Source organism: Homo sapiens, chromosome 14 (genome assembly GCF_000001405.40).
Source record: "Homo sapiens chromosome 14, GRCh38.p14 Primary Assembly".
In the NCBI taxonomy this organism is placed as follows: domain Eukaryota; kingdom Metazoa; phylum Chordata; class Mammalia; order Primates; family Hominidae; genus Homo; species Homo sapiens.
In genome coordinates this window covers 95,199,977-95,224,905 of record NC_000014.9, presented here as the reverse complement: position 1 = coordinate 95,224,905, position 24,929 = coordinate 95,199,977, and the positions used below count along the sequence as shown (strand labels likewise).

Below are 24,929 nucleotides of genomic sequence, written 5' to 3'. Positions count from 1 at the left end.
TTCCTGGCTTCCTCTGCTAAGGGTCCCACCACCTCCAGACTTGGTCTAAATATTGGTGAAGCAATGACGGGCACCTCAGGAGGGCACACTTGAAGACTAAAGCAGTCTTGGAGATGGGGGAGCCCTACTGATGCCGTATTGAATCCTGGAGAGTAACTGGCCCAGGGTCTTGTCATTGCTGTGTGGATCTAGGGTACACTTGCGTTCAGCCCTTGTGGCCGGATACAGGAAACAGGACAATACCAAACAGCTAGCTTGACCAAATGCTGCGACTATCACTCATCCTCTTTGAGCCTCAGTTTCCCCAATCTAAAGTGAAGGGTGGCCGGGCGCAGTGGCTCATGCCTGTAATTCCAGCACTTTGGGAGGCCGAGGCGGGCGGATCACCTGAGGTCAGGAGTTCGAGACCAGACTGGCCAACATGGTGAAACCCCATCTCTACTAAAACCACAAAAATTAGCCGGTCATGCTGGCAGCTGCCTGTAATCCCAGCTCCTCGAGAGGCGGAGGCAGGAGAATCACTTGAACCCGGGAGGCGGAGGTTGCAGTGAGCCAAAATTGTGCCACTGCACTCCTAAGCCTGGGCGACAGAGCGTGACTCTTGTCTCAAAATAAATAAATAAATAAATAAATAAATAAAATGAAGGGCTTGCACTAGGTAATTTCACATTAAGCCCTGATAGAATTGTTTTATTCTACAGAAGGATGTAGTCAAGATATGCCATTTCTTTCTGCCCTTAAGCATGTGGATGTGATCTAAACGTGGGGTCTGAGATCTTCGGTTTGAAGGGCCCCCAAGGGCCACTTGTCGATCAGCCCCCTCTTGGTGAATCTTCTCTGCAGCCTTCCTGCCAAGTTGTGGCTGTGCACCGCTGCCTGGGTATCACTTCCAGGGGGATGGGCCTGCTACCTCCTTGGATGGGCTTTTCTACCTGTAAACAGAGCTGGATGTTTGGAAGTTTTCTCTTGAGCAGAAAGCTGCATCTCTGACATAGCTTTGTGGATCACACAGGTTGCTAATTGGCTACTTTCTTCCCTTCTCTTTCAAAGTGCAACCCACCTCTAGAAGTTAAAGATTTATTCGTCGATATACAAGATGGCAAAATCCTAATGGCTTTGTTAGAAGTCCTGTCTGGGCGGAATCTGGTACGTATGTTACAGAAGGGTCAGAAAGAAAGAAAATGCAAAGGAAAACGCTGCTGAGGTTTTCTTTTCAACACAAATACCTGGACATATCCTATAATAAGAAACTCTGAAGCGGTGACTTTTTTTATTAGTGCCTACAAGCCATATAGTCATGTGGAATGAACTAGTACTTTTTTTTTTAAGCCAATGTATTTTAGAAAATAAATGAATAAATGCCCAGTGTTTTCTTTGAGTCTGTTAAGGCTTAAGATTAGAACTAAACAGTTAAAATTTAGCCAGCCAGCCATTATATAAACTAGAATCATCGCTGAGAAGTGGAAAAATTGGAAGAGAAAGGCCTTTTATCAACCACCCTAAGGCTAAGCACCCTAGAACTGCTGGCTTCTAGAACATTCTTTTAAGTATGACTGAAGTTGAGCCAGCTGGTCTTGACGTTCATTCCACTTTGGACATTAGCCAGACTTCTCCATGTTGCATCCCTCTGCTGTGTGCAGATTGGCCCTTGTTCTCTTCACAGACAGCAGAGTTTCTCAGCCTTGGCACTGTTGACATTTGGGTCACATAGTTTCTTGCTATGGGAAGATGTCCTGTGCATTGCAGGACATTTAGTATCTAACTGCTAAACAACAGTATCACCTCCAGGTGTGACAGCTAACAATCTCCCAGACATGATGAAATGTTCCATGAGGGGGCAAACTGATCCAGCCCAGAATGGTAGAAGTGTCAAGATTGAGAAAGCCTGTTCCAGAGTCCACTGTTTGATTTGGCCTTGGCAACCCATTGTGCCTAACTAAAACAGAGGTGCAGCAACGGGGTCACAACTCTACCAAACCATAGCTCAGCCAGCACAGAGCGTCCTGGGTCTGTCCTTAACTGTAGGTCTAAAGTCAAGAGTCCCTGCTTCTCTTCTCAGATATAATGTAGCTGGTATCTTATCAGACCTCTTAACCATCCCACCTTTGCTTTCCCAATGGCAAAACACAAGATACCTATTAGCGGCACCCGCAGAGGGCTACGCAGTATTCAGTGATGAACTCTCAACAGTATTTGGTTTCTTAGAGGCCTCGCCATGAGCACGGTCCCCAAAAGACTTCCTGAAAAAGTACCTTCTAGTCCCTTGTTTATGCTCCCAGCACAGAGGCTCCCCACTTTATTGCCAGAGCCCTGGTCACCAGCTGCTGTGTCCTTGGTGGGCCTCCACGGGGAGTCTTTGATTCTGGAGCCCAGCCAAGAACAGGCCTCCACTTCCCCATGAGCGTGGCCTGGCACTTCACACCTGGTGGAGCTGACCCACTGGTTTGCCTTGTAATGCCATCTTCCCCCAACCTGGAGGAGCGTCAGTGTGCTTCAGTTCAGGGTGAGTTGGCTGTGATGGTATTCCTGGTATGTAGAGCTAACCTTGTCAGAGTTTTAGCTTCTGCAGACGTCTCTTTCTTTCTCTTTCTCTCTCTTTCTCTCTTTCGACCTGGGATAACTGTCCACAAAACTCTTGGCTAGAAAACAGAAACATCTGCCGCCACTGGGGAGGACCTCGGCTGGATGATTTAGCAGCTGAGCCGTGATGCTGACAGCTAGTGCTCCCTGTCCTAACAAAAGCAGCCGCTTAGCGAAGGGAACACGTAATGGAGGGTCTCAGGAGAAGGGAGGAATCTAACAAGCCAGGAGCTGGGTCCCAGAGAAAAAAATTGACAAATTTGTCCCTTGCTGACCCACTTCAGTTCCCCCCAACTCACCAACTTCAGCGAGTTAAATCCCAAGTACTGTAAATAAGGCCGACCTTTGAGAGCCCTCTGATGTCACATTTGTATGTCCTGAGAGGCACCTGTGTGGGTTTGGATGCATTCCAGGTGGGTTTTAGCTGTGAGCCCCTAACTTTTTCTTGAAATTCATGTGAAAAAAGTAAAGCACACCCAGCAGCACCGCTGGGTGTTGGGAAGTGCCTGTGCGGGTTTAATGTGCTTGTTTTGTTCTGTTCTGTTTTATAGCTGCACGAATACAAATCCTCGTCGCATCGTATTTTTCGGTTGAACAACATAGCGAAAGCACTTAAGTTTTTGGAAGATAGCAATGTAAGTGTTTGAAGCTCATCCTGCTAACACAAGCTTGTCCTGTTAGGAAAAGGACGTCATTTGAAGTTCAGTGCTGGTCGCAAGAGAAGCGTGAGACGGGGACTGAGCTAAAATGGTCAAATTAAACTAAGCTTAAATTTCACAGAAATCACTCAGATGACCCCTCCGTTGGGAACATAGTCCCTGACTCCGTGCCCACCCACTTTGCAGCCATCAGGATTAAAACTCTGATGTACGTTCAGTCGTAGAAAGGCAGAGCAGCTAACTGGCTCTCAGATATTTAGAATTCAGTTCACGTTTTCTCCTTCATTCCCTTGAATAAGAGTATGGCGAGCATGTCCGAGTGTAGAACTTTCTCTTGGAACTTAGAATATGGGAGAAGAAGGGGAAGAGGGGGGCCAAATGAGCCAGGGGAAAAAAGTTACAAAATTCTCCCATTCTTGATGTAACTTTCTAGACTCCGATGATCTTTTTCTGTGCCTGGAACCCTGCTCCACATTCTTCACAGAGGGGAGGGGGTGGCTCAGCAGGGAGGACGTTTCATCACGCCTCTCATTAGGTTTCACCAATCAATCCGGGTTAAAACAAAACCCAGCTTGCCTGACACATTGGCACATACAGTGAGATTTTATCATAAAGTAGGATTCATCTGGGGTTCTTCATAGTAACAGAAGCTGAACTCAGCTGATTTAAGCAGTAAAGGAATTTGTTGAAATATGCCGAGTAGCCACAGAATGACTTGAAAGACCAGCGAATCAGGGACAGAACCCATGCCAGGCACCAGGACTACCGCAGAGCCCCCTGAAGAGACGGCAGGACATGCCCTCACCGCCCTGCCCCTGCAACCTCTGGGCAGCCCCACCACAGCCTGCAGAAGGAGCTCTCTCTGCTTTGTGGTCGTCTCAGCATCACAGGTCCAGATTCAAAGGCCCGGACAGGATGTGTGGCTGCACAGCCTGGGCCTCAGCCCACATTCCAGGGGCAAAGGAGGATGGGAAAGCACTTTCACTGTCTGAACAGGGGTAGGCTCTGCTTCCCAATAGTCCCCTCCCAGTAGTTCTAGGAGAAAGTCCCAGGCACAGAGGGGAGGTTCAGATGGTGGCGGCCAGCAAGCGCATTACAGTTCATGGCAGCACAATTCACAACAGCCAAAAGGTGGGAACAACCCGCCTGTCCACCCACGGACAAGTGGATTCTCAAAATGTGACTTAGATGGCTGGGCGCGGTGGCTCACGCCTGTAATCCCAGCACTTTGGGAGGCCGAGGCGGGTGGATCACCTGAGGTCAGGAGTTCAAGACTAGCCTGGCCAACATGATGAAACGCCATCTCTACTAAAAATGCAAAAATTAGCTGGGCACGGTCGTGGGGAGCTATAATCCTAGCTACGAGGGAGGCTGAGGCAGGAGAATTGCTTGAGCCCTGGAGGCGGACGTTTCAGTGAGCTAAGATCTCGCCACTGCACTCCAGCCTGAGCAACAGAGCGAGACTTTGTCTCAAAAAAAAAAAAAAAAAAAAAAAAAGGGACCTATCCATACAGTGGAATATTATTCAGCCTTAAAAAAAATGAAGCACTGATAATGGATGAACCTTGACAACATGCTAAGTGAGAGAAGCCAGACGCAAAGGACCACTTATTATATGATTCTATTCATATGAAATGTCCAGGACAGGGAAGTTTTTGGAAATGGAAAGTAGACTAGTTGTTGTTTTGGGCTGTGGGAAGACAGGGGGATGAGGGGTGGTAGCTCGAGGGTACAGGGTTTCTTTTAGAGAGGATGAAAATGTTCTAAAATTGATTGTAGTGATTCTTGCATACATCTTTCAATACACTACAAAACATCGAATTTTATACTTTGAGTGCGTGAATAGGATGGGATGTGAGTTATAGCTCATTAAAACTTTTTATAAAGAAAGCCTACCCCCTGTTCATTAAAAGCCTCCCTTTCTGTTGAGTCAATGACACTGCTGGCCTCTGGCCAAACGTGGGCCAGCACAGGTCCTGGAGTACGGAGGACTGTTTCCAGTTCTGGCTTCCCCACTCCCAGGAACTGTAGGCAAATGGCATCTTCCCTGAGCCTCCGTTTCTACATCTGTGAAATGGAGGAGAGAAAAACAAAACCTACCTGGGAGAGTTTTTGGGGCTAAATGACTTGTCCAGGTACAGGTTAGCCATGCACCAGCCAGACCGAAAGCTGCGTGGGCTCCAGCTCTCACTGCGTCACCCCCCTTGATTGATTACGTCTGATGCCCACCTGCTCCCTGGAGCAGGCATTGCGTATGGCTGTTCTTAGCAGTGTCTACTCCTGAATTGCAAAGGGCATGGTTTTTGTGATAATGTGGGGCCTTCAAACAGCCTCCTCAGATTCGTGCTGCTCTTCCTTCCACCGTATTGACCTCTAAATACTCTCCTGCTCTGTCAGCTGCCCACGTTTATGAGTCTGCTGTAATGCAGGCAAAACCCTCCTGCTGCATTTATCAGAATTACCTAGTAGGTCCTAGGTTTGCTTCCAGCAGCCATTTGGGTCACATTTACCAAGTGTCTTTTGTGGGCCTGAGAGACTTCTCAGCATTGGAGACAGACAGCTACATTAGAGACTCATCTGTGCCTTCAAGATGCTTAGGATCAGCTGGAAGAGACCTCACATGGACAGCGTGCTGTATGTCACCCCAGGGGCATGAAGATGGGGGATGATCCTGCAGAGGCAAAAACAAACAGCTGAGTCGGGGAAGGACTAGCCTAGGAACAGGTGTGGCAATGAGGGAGTGCAGTGCAGAGGCTTGGGAAGGCCTGGCCTTCTGTCATCCATCTGTGTAGTATTTTCCAAACTGCCTGCAGTAGCTGCCTTAAAGTCAAGGAACATTAAAGCCTCCATCCCCTCTATTTTTTCAAACAACTGTAAATATTCCAAATGCGAGCATACTATGTCAGCTTGGTGCCCCACTGGGCCCCATTTACCAGGCAGGTAGGACAAGTGAATGGCCCGGTGGGAAGGCAAGCCCAGGGGAGTGAGCCAGGTGGAAACGAGCGTTTCAGATGCAGACTCTGTCCCATTCCCAGAATCCACAAAATACTCAGTGGGCCCTCGCTGGTCACTTCTTGTCCCATTATTTCAGCCCACTGTCCCCAACAGGCTATAACAGCTCTGCTGAGCTAAAGCGGTGCCCAGAACTGGGTGGTGGATGCCAGGCAGCAGCCAGGTCCTCTTTGCTCAGGGATTCAGATGCCGTTAGGTGCTGTGGCTGGCCCCTGTCCTCTCCTCTCTCCCCTGCAACCACACGTCACAGAGCACAGTGTTTATGCCCGTGTCAGAGATGGGCTGCCCCACAGGACCAGCTCTATGACTTGCAAGTTATTCAACTTCTCTGAGCCTGAACTTCCTCATCTCTAAAATGGGTATATTGTAAACACTAAAGGAACTGACCTGTGAAAAGCACTCTCCATTCTCGGGATGGCTGTCATCACTTACCAGGCCCCTGAGTTATCACCCTACATGTGATAACTAGGTGTGATACCACCTTCTCCCAGCCGCAGAGGGAGACGGAATATTTCCACAAACCAATTGGTCCACTTGTTTTCAATCTGGCAAAACTAGCTGAGTTAGGAGGAACAAGAGGAGGAAAGCATTGTCCCTGAAGCTCTGAACTGAAGTCTGGCTGTTAACCTTTTTGTTCACCACCAAAAACAAAATGGTAGCTGGGCACACAAGCCACAGTTTTTGGAAATATCTGCCCCTTGGGGCCTCGGACCACCTGCAGTCACCACCTTCCCTCATCCCAGTTCTCTGAGGGAACTGGGCACCTCAGGAGGGTGCTTTATTCCCTGCTCAGCCCTGCCCTTCCCCTCTTGGGATGGTGCACCATGGTGTTTACGGCACCCCTACAAGGCAGCTCTGTCTTCTCACTTTGAAACCTCAGCTTACAGGGCCACAGCTGTCACTTGCCATTTGGGCTTCCCCCAGGTGAAAGGGAAGGCCAGGGTGATCAAGTTGACTAGCGGCTTTGATTCCCCTGGACTGGAATGTGCTCAGTAAGCCACAGAAACAGGAGCTGTCAGAGCAGAGGCTTAGGAGACGAGCAGGCGAGTTCTCGTGGGTGATCCATCATGCAGGACTTGCGCTCGTGATGAATGCGGAGATAGTACTGAACCTGAATCCGATCAACTGTGTTATTCACAGTATTGACAACTTCCTTCCTGGCCTCTGACCTGCCAGTGATGAGCCTGTGTTGTCTGACTTATATTCTTGGCATCTGTCCTCAAAACAGACTGCAGCTTGGGAACCCAGAACTCTCCCTCGATTAGGCAAGCCCAGGCCTAAATGATTGGTGTTGTCGGAAACCCATGATGAACTGATAGGATCAGAGACCCATGTCAGACAGTTTAAAAAGCCATGAAGGGAAGAGAGAGAGGAAAGAAATAGAGGAAAAAGAAAAAGGTTTTGTATGAGATGCTCTCTTCAGGTTCTCTTTCCCCAGTCTACCAGGCAGAATTTTGCAGTGTGGACCTGATAGTGTATCTTGACTTTCTCTTTCTCCTGAAGAATGACTTAGACTTTTGCTTTATTAAGCGTTGTTAAGAAAGAAGAAAAATGTGTGGCAGACACCAGTGTGGCCTGCAAAGCCTTAAATATTTACTCTCTGGCCCTTTTCAGAGAGGTCTGCAGAGACCCGATCTGTGTCCAGTGCTTAGATTTTGTTTGTGGAATGAACTGATGACTTAGGGCAGTGATCCTCAAACCCGAGCATGCACTGGAATCACCTGGCGCACTTACTAAAATACAGATTTCTGGGCCCACCCACAGAGTTCTTGATTCTGTAGACATAGGGGAGAATGAGCATTTCTAACATGGGGGTCCCACGTGATACAGATGCTGCTGGTCCAGATGTCAGGTTGGCCTTAGGGATTTACCAGGAGCATCATTCTGTGGTCAGAACATAGTTAAATACATAGATAAGACCCTGAGGGTTTCTACAAGAGGCACATTTTAACTAATCAGTGGGATCTTTTCTAATGGTGCAGAAACCCTGGGTATAAACCTTATCCCAGTACACTATTTCTAATTAGCAGTCAACTCACCCACCACAGTCCGTGACTGCTCATGTCGGTGCTCTGTGTTTGTCCCAAGGACATGCTAAATCCAGGCGTGGTGGTGTTTATGTAGCAGACAGATGTACTGGGCATTTTCCATCTCTCTTGGAAAAGAATGACTGAAGCCTTACCAGCTATGTGACACTGGGCATGTTGTATTTAACCTCTCTGAAATTCCCTTACTTGAACTGGAGGGACAATAGAAGTACCTACTGATATGGTTTGGCTGTGTCCCCACCCAAATCTCACCTTGAATTGTAGCTCCCATAATTCCCACGTGTCGTGGGAGGGACCTGGTGGGAGGTCATTGAATCGGGGGAGCAGGTCTTTCATGTGCTGTTCTCATGATAGTGAATAAGTCTCCTGAGAGCTGATGGTTTTATAAAAGGGAATTCCCCTGCACACGTTCTCTTGCCTGTCGCCATGTGAGACGTGTCTTGCTTCCCCTTCGCCCTCCACCATGATTGTGAGGCCTCTCCAACCATGTGGAACTGTGTGTCCATTAATCCCCTTTCCTTTTATAAATTACTCAGTCTCAGGTAGTATCTTTGCAGCAACATGAGAACGGACTAATACACCTACATCATAGGTTTATTGTGAGAATAAACTGAGTTAATATTTGTAAGAAGTTTAGAATAGAGGCTGCATATGGTAAGTGCTGTGTATGTGTTAATTAAATACACTTTTGCATGCTGAGTGTCCCTGAGAATGGCAGGGTAAGTAAGAAAAACAGGCTCATGCAAACACACACACACACACACACACACACACACACACACACACACACAGAGAGAGAGAGAGAACCAGAAAATAACATATGTTATCCTCCCTGGACACCTCGCTTTAAGTTCATAAATTGCTTCCCTCCAGGTAAAACTGGTTAGCATTGATGCAGCAGAAATAGCAGATGGCAACCCTTCTTTGGTTCTTGGGCTGATATGGAACATAATCCTCTTCTTCCAGGTAAGATCATTTCTTTTCCAAAACACACAATCATGATCTTGTGTCTGCTGAGCAGCCACAGAAGAGAGTGGGGCCAGATTAAGGGAGGCAGTGAGGCTTAGTTTATGGCAGATTTTATCTTTTCTACTCACTGAAAAAGCACTAGAAGAATCTGGTTGCTAAAGTGTTTGAGTCTCTGTGATTTTAAAAGCGGTGCAAGTTCTCTAGAAGAGAATATCTATCCTCTTGGGTCTGGAAGAGTTAAATATTTACTTCAAAAAATAACTTTGTTCTAAAGTGTCACAAGAACCGGGGAATACTCCTGACCAAAACTGGAACTTGGTAGAGTTACTTTCCTGAAATCACTCAGTGTTCCTTAGAGGTGATTAAAGAGCTTGCACTAAAGATGCCTGAGGAAGAAGAATAACAGGCGAGACCTTATTGTTCTGTTCTTTGCAACTTCAGCCTCTAACTGGAAATGCAGATTTGATAGAGGGAGAACTGGATCTGTGATTGGAATAAGAAGATGACATTTTATTTTTATTTTATTTTTTATTGTTATACTTTAAGTTCTGGGGCACATGTGCAGAATGTGCAGGTTTGTTACATAGGTATACACGTGCCATGGTGGTTTGCCGCACCCATCAACCCATCAGAAGATGACATTTTAAATTGTGCTCAAGTTCATTTCCCTGTCAGAAGGAGAGAGCTGGTATCTCATTTTCTAGAGCCCACCCGCTTTTGGAATAGAAACTTGTGGTTCACTGTTCGATTACCCTCCCAAGAGTGAAAGTGATCCACACGGGCATGATTTGCTTGGATTTTGGCGCAATGCCTGCATTTCAGAGAAGCATGAGCACAAACAAGGTCTGGAGACAATAGTTCCTGTTCTGAGTGAACCATGAACTTAAAAAAAAAAAAATACTGTCTCTCTCAGAGCCTCAGTTTCCATGTCTGTGAAATGGGAGCAGTGGTCATAATAGGTGGTGAGCATCAAAAGAAGCCATGTGGGCTGGGCACAGTGGCTCACGCATATAATCCCAGAACTTTGGGAGGCCATGGCGGCAGGGTCGCTTGAGCCCAGGAGTTCCAACATCAGCCCTGGAAACAGAGCAAGACCCCATCTCTACAAAAAACAAACAAAATTAGCCAGGCATGGTGGTGTGTGCCTGTAATCCCAGCAACTTGGAAGGCTGAGTTTGGAGGATTACTTGAACCTGAGAGTTCAAGGCTATAGTGAGACATGATCATGCCACTGCACTCCAGCCTGGGCAACAGAATGAGATCCTGTCTCAAAAAAAAAAAAAAAAAAAAAAAGCAGCAGCAGCCACCATGTGTTATACATATGCTTCAATTACTGCTACCTGTTATTAAACTTCCTCAGAGATTCTGGAAACATCCCGAAGATGTGGTAAAAGTCAAGACCTTAAATCCACCACCGTAGGGCTTCATTTATTTATTTAACAAATGTCTATTGAGTTTCTCCAAGATGCCAGGTGCTGAAAGTAAAAGGCCCTGCCCTCATGACCCTTTAGGATCACAGACAAGTCAATCCTATATGGTAGAAGGTGATGCAAGAGCTCCAAGCAGGGGCAGCTAGCTCAGATGGGGGAGTGCAGTAAGGAAAACTTCCTGGAAGAAGTGACACCAGAGCTGGGTTTTGAAGGATGAGTAGGAGTGCGCTAGACCTCCTACTCATCTTTCAAACTAAGTTAGACGTAACCTACTGTGTGTGTGAATTGCCTGAGGGTGGTATTGAAACAGATTCTGATTCCAGTAGCTCTGGGGTAGAGCCTAGGGTTCTGCATATCTTACAGAAGTCCTCATGAGAGGAGTTCACTGATGGAGGGAAGGGACATCGAGGCAGCAAGGGCAGGATGAGCAGAAGCAATGGGGCTTGAAAGAGCTCAGTGAAGTCTGGGAGTGATGGGCGGTGAGAGGAAAGGGGCGGCAGAGTTGGGTCAGGAAGACCTGGTGTGAAGTGCTGGCTGGAGCTGGAGAGACTCCAGGAAAAGACGGTCCTCCCTATAGAGTGTAATTACGTGTACCACAAGCCACAAGAAACGGACAGGCCATCACAAGTACTGCCTGTCCCCTGCCACAGCCATCAGAAAGGGTTTCTCTGCATTCAGAGAAGCAATCCTGCCTGAGCCGGTCCCTCCAGCCATGGTCCATATGGCCACCCGCCAGACAAGGGGCTTGCTGAGAGGGTGGGTCTGTTGCTGGGGTCTGAAATGCCATTTTCCTTCCAGATTAAGGAGCTCACAGGCAACCTCAGCAGAAACTCTCCATCTTCCAGCTTGTCCCCTGGCTCAGGGGGCACAGACTCAGACTCATCCTTCCCACCCACACCCACTGCAGAGAGGAGCGTGGCAATATCGGTGAAAGACCAGAGGAAGGCTATCAAGGCCCTGTTGGCGTGGGTGCAGAGGAAAACGAGAAAGTAAGCCGCAGCCCCTCTCCCCACACTACTTCATTTAACTAGCTGCTTTCAGGCAGAGGAAAGGAGAATTAGTATTTATTAAGGTGCCAGTTATGTATGTGCCCATTGCTTCATATAGAATATCAGAACAGGGGGCAGGCGCGGTGGCTCATGCCTGTAATCCCAGCACTTTGGGAGGCCGAGGCGAGTGGATCACCAGGTCAGGGATCAAGACCATCCTGGCTAACACGGTGAAACCCTGTCTCTACTAAACAATACAAACAAAATTAGCCGGGCGTGGTGGCGGGCACCTGTAGTCCCAGCTACTCGGGAGGCTGAGGCAGGAGAATGGCGTGAACCTGGGAGGCGGAGCTTGCAGTGAGCCGAGTTCACTCCACTGCATTCCAGCCTGGGCAACAGAGCGAGACAACATCTCAAAAAAAAAAAAAAAAAGAATGTCAGAACAGGAAACCCTGCATTTTTCTGGTTTTGCAGTACACACAAAATGCAGTTTGCAGAATGTTTGGTTTGCACAAAGCTGATAAGATTTGAATACAGATCAGAGGAGCCTTCATCATGTTGCCTCTCAACATGGGCATGTCTCTTGGATTCTAATGACTTGTGTGCATTTAAGCTTCAGGGTATCTTCCAGAGTCTGTACCTACTTTAAAAATAGTAATAATAAAGGCTGTAACATACTCAAAGTTAGGTCGGACCTTCCAAAATCGAGACGGGAACTGGAGCCAAGTTCCGGCCCTGTTTCACCCCACACCGGCAGCAGAGTGATTTTAGCAGTTTTGTATCAGGCCTTTTTACCAGCAGCAGGCCCACAGCCCCTGGACCATGGGCACAAATGCCAGACCAGTGTGGTGGAAACCAAACCAACTCGGGGCCGCCCCAGCTCCTCAGCGTACAGACTGGTTGAGATCCTGGTGAATCATTTACCTTTCCAAGCCCCAACTGCAAATAGTATCCTATCACACACTGCCTTCCAGGACAATTAGGTGAAATTAAATAAAATCCATGAAAGAGCACCTTGCACAGTGCCAGCCCATATTAAGCACTTCACAAATATTGATTCCTTTATCCCCTGTGTGTGGAAATAAAAGAGGGAAGAGAGGTTGGATCTTCAGAGTTTTGATTGAGAGATCAAGCGTGGTAGATTGAAATTGACAAATGTGAACCACCATTAAATGTTGTTTACATAAATATCAACCAAAAAAAAGTTCATTGTCAGGGGTTAGGGTAGAAGGGGGGTGTGATGTATGGGAGAGGAAGTGTCTTGGGGTGATAGGACAGTTCTGTTTCTCTATTGTGGTGGTTACATTAATCTGTACACCACCGCCATGAAAAGTAACACCTGTGAAAATGTGAAATTCAAATGCAGTCTATAGCTTGATTAATAATTGTCTTGGACCAGTATTGGTGTTCTGGTTTGGATAACGCACCCTGGTAGCATAAGATGCTGTCACTGGAGGAAGCTGGGGAAAGAGTAGAGACTCTCTGTACTGTGTTTCAACTTCTTTTGGGTCTTAAATGATTTCCAAATAAAAAGGTACTTGGTTGTTTTTGGTTTTTTTTTTTTTTTTTAAGAGCGTTTATTGACCACGGTTGAGAGATTGGTGGAGTCTCAGGATAGATTCTACAGGAAATTAGTGCCTGGCAAGATTCTCTCCTCTTTTGTCCTTCACTTTTACTTTTAAAAAGTTGAGGTAGCCTCCATTCTACAAAATAGAGTGAAAGCTCTCTGCCCCTCACTTTTACAATGGTGCTTTTATTTCTATTACTGATAATAGTAGCTGTCATTAGTGAGTGGCTTTCTTGGGCTCCCAACGTTGTATATTAGGTTGACCCTATGACTTGGCCGTTCTTCTGGGGCCAGGCTCGACTTTCCCCACAAAAGCCCCAGCAAGTTCACTGTGTGGAGTTTGAGGCTCAGAGAGGTAGGTGACTTGCCCAAGGCCATGGCACTAGAAGCATAGAGGGGACAGCTGAGGTACAAACTTGTGTCTTTCTGGTTCCATTTTTATGGCACAGCACATTCCATGTTATGTTTTCAATGTCACTGATACAAGGAATGGTCTATACAGTTGGTCCTTTATGTGTCTGGGAATTGGGGAACCCAGGGTCCTATTTTGCCTCTTTGTTCAGTGTATACCCTCCTATTCCATTTGGCTGGAAATGGAAATGTGAGTGGTTCAGGGCAGCTCTCCCATGCTCAGGGATGAAGGCGTCTTCACCTGGCGAGGTCGGCAGCTCTGCCCCACTCAAAAACTCACGCGGCTGCTGCATGCTGACCTTGCACCTTTGAGTCTGTTTACTAACCAGCATCCTGGCCGCCGCTGCTGTTTTTCCTTCAGGTATGGCGTGGCGGTGCAGGACTTTGCGGGCAGTTGGAGGAGTGGGCTGGCTTTCCTGGCGGTGATCAAGGCCATTGACCCCAGCCTGGTGGACATGAAACAGGCCCTGGAAAATTCCACACGAGAAAATCTAGAGAAGGCTTTCAGCATCGCACAGGATGCCCTGCACATCCCCAGGCTCCTGGAGCCAGAAGGTAGCAGTGGTTCTCTCTTTCTTTCTAATAATTTTTTTTTACAAATGTACCACTTGCTGTCCCATGTGGAAAATCTGGAAAATACAGAAAAATCTAATGAAGAAGATTTTTTCTCCTATATTTCTACCACTCAGATCATATGGATATTTTTCCGATATTTTATATGCCTCTAATTATATTTTTACATAATTGTTATCATTTACTGTATATATATAATTTTGTACTTTTTATTTAACATTATATCATAAGTATTTTACATACTTCTATAATGTATTATATATTTTTATTGGCTGCATAATAATTCATCTAGTGGGCATACTAAAATGTACTTAGTGGCTGGGCGTGGTGGCTCACGCCTATAATCCCAGCACTTTGGGAGGCCGAGGCAGGTGGATCACCTGAGGTCAGGAGTTCGAGACCAGCCTGGCCAACATGGTGAAACCCCATCTCCACTAATAATACAAAAATTAGCTGGGCGTGGTGGCGCAGTCTGTAATCCCAGCTACTCGGGAGACTGAGGCAGGAGAATCACTTGAGTCCGGGAGGTGGAAGTTGCAGTGAGCTGAGATCGTGCCACTGCACTCCAGCCTGGGCGACAGAGCCAGACTCTGTCTCCAAAAAAAAAAAATGTACTTAGCTCTTCCACTACTGGTAGACATTGAGGTTGTTTCTGAAATATTTCCTTTTAGATATAACAACACCGCAGTGAACATCTTAGTAAATAAAGCTCAACGTGCATCCCAGATTATTTCCTTAAGGACCAGGTTTCATTAGCAGAATGACAGAGGGGGAGAGCCCATACCTGTTTAAAGGGTTTGGCTATCTCTGTGAAGTTGCCTTCCACGTGGGTTAGGCTAACGTAGGACTCCGTATACCATATGTAGGCTGCCTGGTTCACCGTCCTTGCCCATGGAGCCAGCAGCGAGCTGGCTGCTTACTGTGGAAGGGACTAAAACAGCAAGGAAGAAGGGACAGAATTTTGGGAATAAGAAGCCCTAAATTCTATATCCTTGCTTCTCTGTTCATCAGCCAGCTGTGAGATTTCAGTTAAATGATTCACCACCTTTGAGCCTAAAGTTCCTCAAGTGGAAAATAAAGAGAAAAAACCTTCAATAATCTGTGGGATTCTTCACCATCAGGCATCCGGGAATACTATTGAAAGCGTGTGTGTTTGTATCTCCTGCTAATTCCTGTGTCTCTCTCGACAGACATCATGGTTGACACACCAGACGAGCAGTCTATCATGACTTACGTGGCACAGTTTCTAGAACGTTTTCCGGAGTTGGAAGCCGTATGTTTGCTTTTCTTACCTTTAATTCCGACACCATACATTTCCATCCGCTGGCCATCAGACGAAGCAGGGACGTGGGCAGCGTTGCTCTGTGTAACTAGCAGTCAAAATCGCCAGTTGCTCCCAAGTCCCTTGAGCACGGCCTTACCATGTTTTAATTTCAGAATGATAGTTGTCCCCCTCATATGCGGGGGATACAGTTCAAGACCCCCAGTCGATGCTTGAAACTTCGGATAGTACCGAACCCTATATATACCACTTTTTTCCTATACATATGTATCTATGATAAAGTTTAATTAATAAATTAGGCACAGAAAGAGATTAACAACAACTAATAGTTACATAGAACAATTATAACCATGGGCCGACATCATTACTTTTGCAGTTTGGGGCCATTCTTAAGTAAAATAAGGGCTATGTGAACACAAGCACTTTGATATCGTGGTGGCTGATCTCTGATCATCCAGACAGCTACTGAGTGAGTGACAGATGGGTGGCAGAGATGGCATGGATGTGCTAGACAAAGGAACGAGTCACGTCCCAGGCAGGACAGAGCAGGATGGTGAGAGATTTCATCCCACTACTCAGAACAGCACTCCATTTGAAACTTAGGAATTGTTTATTTCTGGAATTTTCCATTTAATCTTTTCAGACCACAGTTGACCATGGGTGACTGAAACCTCAGAAAGAAAAACCGCAAATAAGGGGGGAACTATTTACATGTAACGTGCATTAAGTTTCAAAGCAGGATGGAAACTGACGCCTGTCACAGACCTCTTCCCATGACAAACTTTATTAAGATTATGAAAGACGCTTTCTTATAAAACGGATCTGCTTCTTGATTTTTTACATGTCAGATGGAATATGTTAGCATCTACCAGATTTTTATCAATGTTACAAATCATAAAAGACAATGATCATTGAAAAGTTTGCCTTTTTATTTTCAGAATTCCAGATTATACTTGGTGAGAGTTTTTTTGGGCACAGAATCAGACCTTTTAGAAGTTGTCCTGGCCCCGTTGAACTCCCACCCAACCCATGCACAACCCCGAGCTGATAATAATGACAGCAATGACAGCCTTTTCTTGAATCCGTTAGTAATTGACTGAACCCTTGCCCCTGGCTTAGGGGACTCAGAAATAAACTAGATGGCTGAGGTCCCTGGCCTTGTGGAGCGTTGTTCTAGTAACGGAAACAGTTATAAGTGAGCAAAAACGTAACTTGGGGTAGTTATAAGTACCAGACAGAAAAAAAGGAAAGCATAAAGAGTTAAAGGATGCTTGCAGGAGAGGGGAGCTGCTTTTCTAGCTGGCTGCCTTGCCCCTGTGTCTCTGGGCTGCCTGCCATTCCTGCAATCCAGCATGGCTCAGTATCATAATCCTCTTTTATAAACGAAAATAAGGATCTCAAAGAGGCTTAAAGACCTCTCCATAGTCACTCAGCTATGAAGCACAGAGCTGGGGTTTGGACCCTCTGTGTTTCCAAAGTTCAGGCTCTTGTTTCCCTTACAACATGCAGCTGAAACTGGGGCTCTGTTTTGTACAGAAGAACTTCCCAGGATCCTCCATGCCGTGACTTTCATCCTGGCCCCCACCTGTGTGTGTGTTTCCTGCCTGTCCCTGCACCACATACGGACCCCTTACAGGGCGCTGTGGAAGCAGGAATTCCTGGGCTGGAATGCCAGTTCTCCACTTGGAGCTGTGTGACCTCAGGCTGGTGACTTGACCTCTCTGATACACATCTATATTGAATGTGTATCTATTGAATGTGTGTCACCTGTAAAATGGAAATCTGACCCACATTTCAGGGCTATGTGAAGGATAAACAGTTATGTGAAGTACCTAGTACTGTGCCTGGAACAACAGTGGATGTTTAGTGAATAATGGTGACTTGGTCAATGGGTATAAAGTTACAGTTACATAGGAGGAATCAGTTCTGGTATTGTATTGCAGAGCAAGATGGCTATAGTTAATAATAATGTAACCAGTGGCTCACATTTATAATCCCAACACTTTGGGAGGCTGAAGCAGGAGGATTGCTTGAGCCCAGGAGTTAAAGACCAGCCTGGGCAACAAAGCGAGACCCCATTTTCTTTTCTACAAAAAAGAAAGAAAGAATAATATACTGTGTATTTCAAAATGTCTAAAAGAGAAGATTTTAACTGTTTTCATTACAAAGAAATGATAAATATTTGAGGTGACGAATATATTGATTTCTCAGATTTGATCATTTTACAATGTATACACGTTTTAAGATATCACATTATACTCCATAAATATATACAATTATTATTTGTCAATTAAAAATTTAAACAGAATCAAAAGAAAGGGATCCAGCCCTGCCAATATCTTGATTTTAGTCCATTGAGGCCTGTTTTGGATTTCTGATGTCCAGAAGTGTAACATAACAAATTTTTGTTGTTTTAAGCAAAAAAAAAAAAGTAGTGATTATTATTTTGCAATTCAATTTTCCTGGCCTGTTACTGTATTTTGAAATACTAGGCATTGGGGCTTTCATTAGCCCTGAGCTCTTAATCTGTAGGCAGAGTTTGAAATCAACTAAAACATACGGTATTTGTGTGAGTCAAAGCCACAGCTAAAATTGAGCAAATCTGACACAGATCTCCCCAATGCTGAGGTCAGAAACTGCAGATGGGAAAAGATTGAGCCAGAAATAATACCTGGAGAAAGTCATTCTGGTTCACAGAACATGCTGCATCACTGCAGAACAGTCTATTTACATCTACAAGGGAATACAGATGAGAATTTACAGCTTATCCAGACACGCAGTGAACTGTTCTTAACAATTCTGCTGAGTTATTTCATTTCAGTAAACATTTGTTGGGCCCTGACCATGTACCACACATTGTTGCTAGCTTTGTGGCCCAGCACATGGTTTCTTTTGGTAAATGTGCCATATGCATTTGAAAAGAACGGGTCTTATACAGTTAAAGAATACTGGTATTCTTTAATATGCTGTTAATATGTTAATATGCTATTCTAGTATTCTATATTTATACTGATTTTTCCTGCTTTCCTGATCCATTAATGCAGGAGAGAAATGTTGAAAAAAAAATCTCCAACTGTGATTGTGAATTTATTTCTCCTCTTAGTTCTGCCAGTTTTTGTTTAATATATGTTGATGCTATGCTGTTAAGTGCACAGACACAATTTATTATATTTTCCTGATGACTTGATTGCTTTATTTTTATAAAATTTCCCCCATCTTGAAGTGTGCTTTGTCTGATATGAACATAGCCATAGCAGCTTTCTTATGATTAGTGCTTGTGTCATAACTTTTTCCATTTTTTTCCTTTCAGTGTATGTACACTTATATTTAAAGTATGTCTCTTGTAAACAGTATACAGTTGGGTCTTGTATTTATTCTGACAAACTCTGTCATTTAATCAGTACATTTTTCATACGTTTATACGGGTTTCATCTACCATCTTGGTTATTGTTTTCCATTGGTCTGATATGTTCTATGCTCCATTGTCCTTCCTTCTTAACTTTTTGGGGATTATTCAAGGATTTCTTTTGTGTGCATTTATCCCCTTTATTGGTTTTTTAACCACATCACCTTGTTTTATCTTTTTAGTAGCTGTTCTAGTGATTATAATACTCATCTTTAACATACATCAGCTTACCTTAAATTAATATACTACTTCAAGTACAATGCATATTTTACATATTTGTATATATTTTATATATATCACATATATAATTTTACTTCATCTCCATTACTTTTGCTACTATATTGTCATTTACTTTACTTCTGCATATGTTTTAATCCTCAATACCTTGTTATTTTTGCTTTAAATAGCTAGTAGGCTTTTTAAGAAAACTTTGAAGTAGTCTTTTCTATTGACCATATATTTACCATTTCCAGTACTGTTCATTCCCTCCTTTAGGCTTTATATCTGAGATTGTGTTCTTTGAGCCTGAAGAACTATTTCTTTTGTATTGCTTGTAGCACAGATTAGTTATTCTAGAGCCTTTGCTTGTGAATTCTAACTCCGGGTCCTATATGGGTCTATATCTAGTGATTATTTCTTCTCTTGATTGTGGATTTCGTTTTCCTGCCTCTTCATGTCTTGTAATTATTTTATGTCAAACTTGGTATATAAAAGAACAATAGAGGTTGAAGCAGATGTCATTTTTTTCCCTCAGGAAATACAGCCCTTTCCCAAACAAGTGTGTAAGATGAGGAGCTGTCGTTTTGATCATATCAGCGTCAATAGGAGCTATGTTGCAGTTTTATTTAATTTCTTCTCTCTGGTTTTAAATGATTTGAGGCTGAAGTCAATTCACACTATCGGTGCATTGGGAGTCAAGCACTGCAGTACCACAGAGTCATTTTCTGCTTTTCAGCCCTGCCCCCAGCTGGCTCTTACACAGCAAAATTCCCTGTGTGGGCTAATTAGTATATGAAGAAAATTGCTTTTGTGTTTGGAGGGCTTCCAGATTCACTCTCTCATACCAGCCCACACAATCAATAAAGATTTGGCTGATCTTTCCTTATCTCAGGTGGATTAGCTCTTCTCCAAGTCCATACCCAGACTAGGCAACATGGTCCTCAAGCATGAAGGGGCTGACAATCTCTGCTCACTTTAGAAGGGATTGTCCTTCTTTAGAGCTTGGTTTCATTGAGATTCGTTAATCCATAGCTTTTTAAAAAACATGGTATTTTATATTTTTATTTATCTGATGTTTTCATATTTCAGCAGGAACAAGAGTCTTCTCTAACCATTTACATCTTAGAACACTTTGCATTGGTTTGAAGTGGCTTTTTCCATTTTTGTTTGTTTGTGTTTTGGGAAAGGTGGATATGGGTTGTACTTAAATATTCTTCTTACTCATGTTGCTCTGTGCTTTTTTTTGTTGTTGTTCTTTTGTTTTTTTTTGTTTGTTTGTTTTTGTTTTTTTTTGCAGGAAGATATTTTCGATTCAGATAAAGAAGTTCCTATCGAATCCACTTTTGTTCGCATCAAAGAAACTCCTTCTGAACAGGAGAGCAAAGTCTTCGTTCTGACTGAAAATGGGGAGCGTACCTACACTGTTAACCATGAAACCAGCCACCCACCACCCTCCAAAGTCTTTGTCTGTGACAAGCCCGAGAGCATGAAGGAATTCCGCCTGGATGGTGTTTCCAGCCATGCGCTGTCAGACAGCTCCACCGAGTTCATGCACCAGATTATTGACCAGGTCCTGCAAGGGGGCCCAGGTAAGACCAGCGACATCAGTGAGCCATCTCCAGAATCCTCCATTTTATCATCCAGAAAGGAGAACGGGAGGTCCAACTCTTTGCCGATCAAGAAAACAGTTCACTTTGAGGCTGACACCTACAAGGATCCTTTCTGCAGTAAGAACCTGTCCCTTTGCTTTGAAGGGAGCCCAAGAGTGGCAAAGGAATCATTGAGGCAGGATGGACATGTCTTGGCAGTTGAGGTTGCTGAGGAAAAGGAACAGAAACAGGAATCCTCGAAGATTCCAGAATCCTCCTCTGACAAGGTCGCTGGTGACATTTTTTTGGTGGAGGGCACAAACAATAATTCTCAGTCTTCTTCCTGTAATGGTGCTTTAGAGAGTACAGCCCGCCACGATGAAGAAAGTCACTCTCTTTCACCCCCAGGAGAAAATACTGTGATGGCCGATTCCTTCCAGATCAAGGTTAACCTGATGACTGTAGAAGCTTTAGAGGAGGGAGACTATTTTGAAGCCATCCCATTAAAAGCCTCAAAATTTAACAGCGACCTAATAGATTTTGCTTCTACCAGCCAGGCTTTCAACAAAGTTCCTTCACCTCATGAGACAAAACCTGACGAGGATGCTGAGGCTTTTGAGAATCATGCTGAAAAACTAGGTAAAAGGAGTATTAAATCTGCTCACAAAAAGAAGGATTCGCCAGAGCCTCAAGTTAAGATGGACAAACATGAACCTCATCAGGACTCCGGAGAAGAAGCTGAAGGCTGTCCTTCAGCCCCAGAAGAGACACCAGTGGATAAAAAGCCAGAGGTGCATGAAAAGGCCAAGAGAAAGTCCACCCGTCCTCATTATGAGGAAGAGGGAGAAGACGATGACCTCCAGGGTGTGGGCGAGGAATTATCTTCCAGCCCCCCAAGCAGCTGTGTCAGCTTGGAGACCCTTGGGAGTCACAGCGAAGAAGGCCTGGATTTCAAGCCCTCCCCACCCCTCTCAAAGGTTTCCGTCATTCCCCACGACCTCTTCTATTTCCCACACTATGAGGTTCCCCTGGCTGCAGTTTTGGAGGCTTATGTAGAAGACCCGGAGGATCTAAAAAATGAAGAAATGGATCTCGAAGAGCCAGAGGGCTATATGCCAGACCTGGACTCCAGGGAGGAGGAGGCCGATGGCTCTCAGAGCAGCTCCAGTTCCTCGGTGCCAGGAGAGAGCCTCCCCAGTGCCAGCGACCAGGTGCTGTATCTCAGCAGGGGTGGTGTGGGTACCACACCAGCCTCAGAACCCGCTCCACTGGCCCCCCATGAGGACCACCAGCAAAGGGAGACCAAAGAGAATGACCCCATGGACAGCCATCAGGTACTCAACCGTGGGATTTGGGAACCCTGGGTCCTGCCTGGGAAACTTGATAGTTCTTTGTCTGAAGCTCAGCTTCTTGCTCCATAAAATAGCGATGAGGGGGCTTCCCTTGGGACTACTATGGTGCAAAATTCAAAGAGGCACCTACTGTGAGGCTCGGGCAAATGCAGGGTTGGCACCTGAGAGTGAGCACCTCCTGAAATCCTGCACACGGGCACCTCACTGGCTTTCCCCCAGTCCTGGCCCTACTCACAGGTATGCTCTGAGGATCAAGTGAGGTCACCTTTGAGGGTCCAGCAGAGGAGGGGCAGAAATGATTTCAAAAGCAGTCATTGTCACAGGGCAAGGGTTGAAAAACTAACCGTTGCATACTATTCTCAGTACCTGGGCAGTGGGATCAGGAAAGCACATCTCCCTTATCCTGTTACACACACATTTCTAACACAGAAACCAAATATTAGTGCCCAACAGGAATAAGTCCTTTAAAAATCAAAAAAGCTCACCATCACTGATCATTAGAGAAATGCAAATCAAAACCACAATGAGATTCCATCTCACACCAGTAAGAATGGCGATTATGTCAGGAAACAATAGATGCTGGCGAGGCTGTGGAGAAGTAGGAATGCTTTTACACCATTGGTGGGATTGTAAATTAGTCCAACCATTGTGGAAGACAGTGTGGTGATTCCTCCATCTGATTTCAGAACCAGAAATACCATTTGACCCACCAATCCCATTACGAGGTATATGCCCAAAGGAATATAAATCATTCTGCTATAAAGACATACATGCACACATATGTTTATTGCAACACTATTTACAATAGCAAAGACATGGAACCAACCCAAATGCCCCCCAGTGATAGACTGGATAAAGAAAATGTGGTACATATATACCATGGAATACTATGCAGCCATAAAAAAGAATGAGTTCATGCCCTTTGCAGGGACATGGATGAAGCTGGAAGCCATCATTCTCAGCAAACTAAAAGAGGAACAGAAAACCAAACACCGCTTGTCCTCACTTATAAATGGGAGTTGAACAATGAGAACACATGGACACAGGGAGGGGAACAACACACATTGTTGGGGGGTGGGAGGCGAGGGGAGGGAGATCATTAGGACAAATATCTAATGCATGCGGGCCTTAAAACCTAGATGATGGGTTGATAGGTGCAGCAAACTACCATGACACTTGTATTTCTATGTAACAAACCTGCACACTCTGTACGTGTATCCCAGAACTTAAAGTAAAATAAAAAAAAAAAAAAAGGAAAAAAAAGCCAATAAAGGAAGAAACAAACAAACTAATAAAAAGTCCTTTAAAACTCAAGGCTGGAGTCAGCCTTCATGACCCCATCACCCAGGTACTGAGAATAGTGTACTAACCGTTGGGTATTGCAGCCAGGGGAACCTCATAGTGTGGGAAATAGAAGGGGTCGTGGGGAATGATGGAAGGCCTTTGAGAGGGGTGGGGAGGGCTGGAAATCCAGGCCTTCTTCGCTGTGACTCCCAAGGGTCTCCAAGCTGACACGGCTGCTTGGGGGGTTGGAAGATAATTACCCCAAGCTTCAGCATCATGCAATATACCTACATAACAAACTTGCACATGAACCCCCCAAATCTAAAATAAAAGTTGAAAAACAAAAAATATATATATATATATTTTTAAATTTTTTTATTATACTTTAAGTTCTGGGGTACATGTGCAGAACGTGCAGGTTTGTTACATAGGTATACATGTGCCATGGTGGTTTGCTGCACCCATCAACCCATCATCTACATTAGGTATTTTTCCTAATGCTATCCCTCCCCTAGCCCCCGACCCCCACAGGCCCCGGTATGTGATGTTCTCTCATAACTTACCACTAACATAGGCATTAGAAAGTTAAAGAAAAAAACAGTCATCGTAGCTAACATCTAGCATGCACTTAGTGAACACTAGCCTGTTCTGCAGTAACTTAGGAGAAACAGAAGAAGCCCTCATGTTTGACTCCAGTTTTGATTTTTTTAAAGGACTTTTGCCTGTTGGGCACTAATCTTTGGTTTCTGTGGTTTGAAATTGGTGTGTAAATAGCATAAGGGGACATGCGCTCTTCTGAGCTTGAGCAGCTGGTCACATTCTTATCTGCCACTTGTGTTCCCACTTCATCTGGCCCAGTAGCTCACAAAGGGCCACTGGAGTGATCAGTGAAGGGGGGTGCCTGGGCGGCTGGCCTGATGGGGAGGCTCCTCCTGCAGATGCCACGTTAATAAGTGCTGCGTCCTGCTACGGCACTGGGGATCCAGGAGGTGAGTCCGAAACCACATTGGCCATGCCCTGCTGGATATAGTGCACACAGGGCATCCAGGGCAAGACAGCCAGGGAGGAGAAGGGCCTGGGCTCGGCCTCTCCAGCCCCTCCATGAGCTCACCTGCTTACTCATCCAACCCCATGGAAAGCGATGCATCTGGCACTGCCAGGAAGATAAAAAAAGAAGGAAAATCCTGCCTTCGGTGTCTAATGCGGGAGACAGAGTCCCCAGTAACTGTACTGTGAGAGAATGTGGCCTCAGCCATTAGAGATGGGCCCAGCGAAGGGATTCAGGAGTTCAACAGAAGGAGGCTCCCACCCAGATCCAGAAAGGCTGCATGGGGGTTTTGGGGAGCCTAGAACTGGGGAGGAAGTTCTGGGTAGAGGGACTAAGGGTAGAGGTCCCCTAAGTGCAGGAGCCAGGTGGGAAAGTGACCAGCTATTTCAGATTGCATTGGCTCTGCCTCTATCTCAGACCCTTCCCCAGTCTGTCACTGTCCCTCCTCCCCAGCTCAGCTTGCAGAGGGATGACCCTAAAGCACAAGTCTCACCTTATCACTTCCTGACTG

At 45.3% G+C, this 24,929-nt stretch overlaps 1 protein-coding gene across 5 annotated transcripts in view, besides 1 other annotated feature; it reads left to right on the top strand.

Moving 5' to 3' along the window:
• CLMN (calmin) overlaps nt 1-24,929 on the top strand; it is a 137,969-nt gene that overhangs the window by 95,003 nt on the left and 18,037 nt on the right. For all 5 annotated transcript variants that reach the window (NM_024734.4, XM_011537158.2, XM_017021646.2 and 2 more), the window contains exons 3-9: nt 1,051-1,146; nt 3,132-3,215; nt 9,173-9,265; nt 11,497-11,687; nt 14,027-14,220; nt 15,429-15,511; nt 20,443-22,068. In NM_024734.4, coding sequence (NP_079010.2) covers nt 1,051-1,146; nt 3,132-3,215; nt 9,173-9,265; nt 11,497-11,687; nt 14,027-14,220; nt 15,429-15,511; nt 20,443-22,068 — 2,367 coding nt within the window. The remainder of the gene's footprint in view (nt 1-1,050; nt 1,147-3,131; nt 3,216-9,172; nt 9,266-11,496; nt 11,688-14,026; nt 14,221-15,428; nt 15,512-20,442; nt 22,069-24,929) is intronic.
• Nucleotides 12,871-12,920: an enhancer, noted in NCBI's record as "active region_8949". NCBI's record gives its function as "activates an Ori minimal core promoter by ATAC-STARR-seq in GM12878 lymphoblastoid cells {active_cell/tissue: GM12878}" and the evidence as "EXISTENCE:reporter gene assay evidence [ECO:0000049][PMID:35858748]".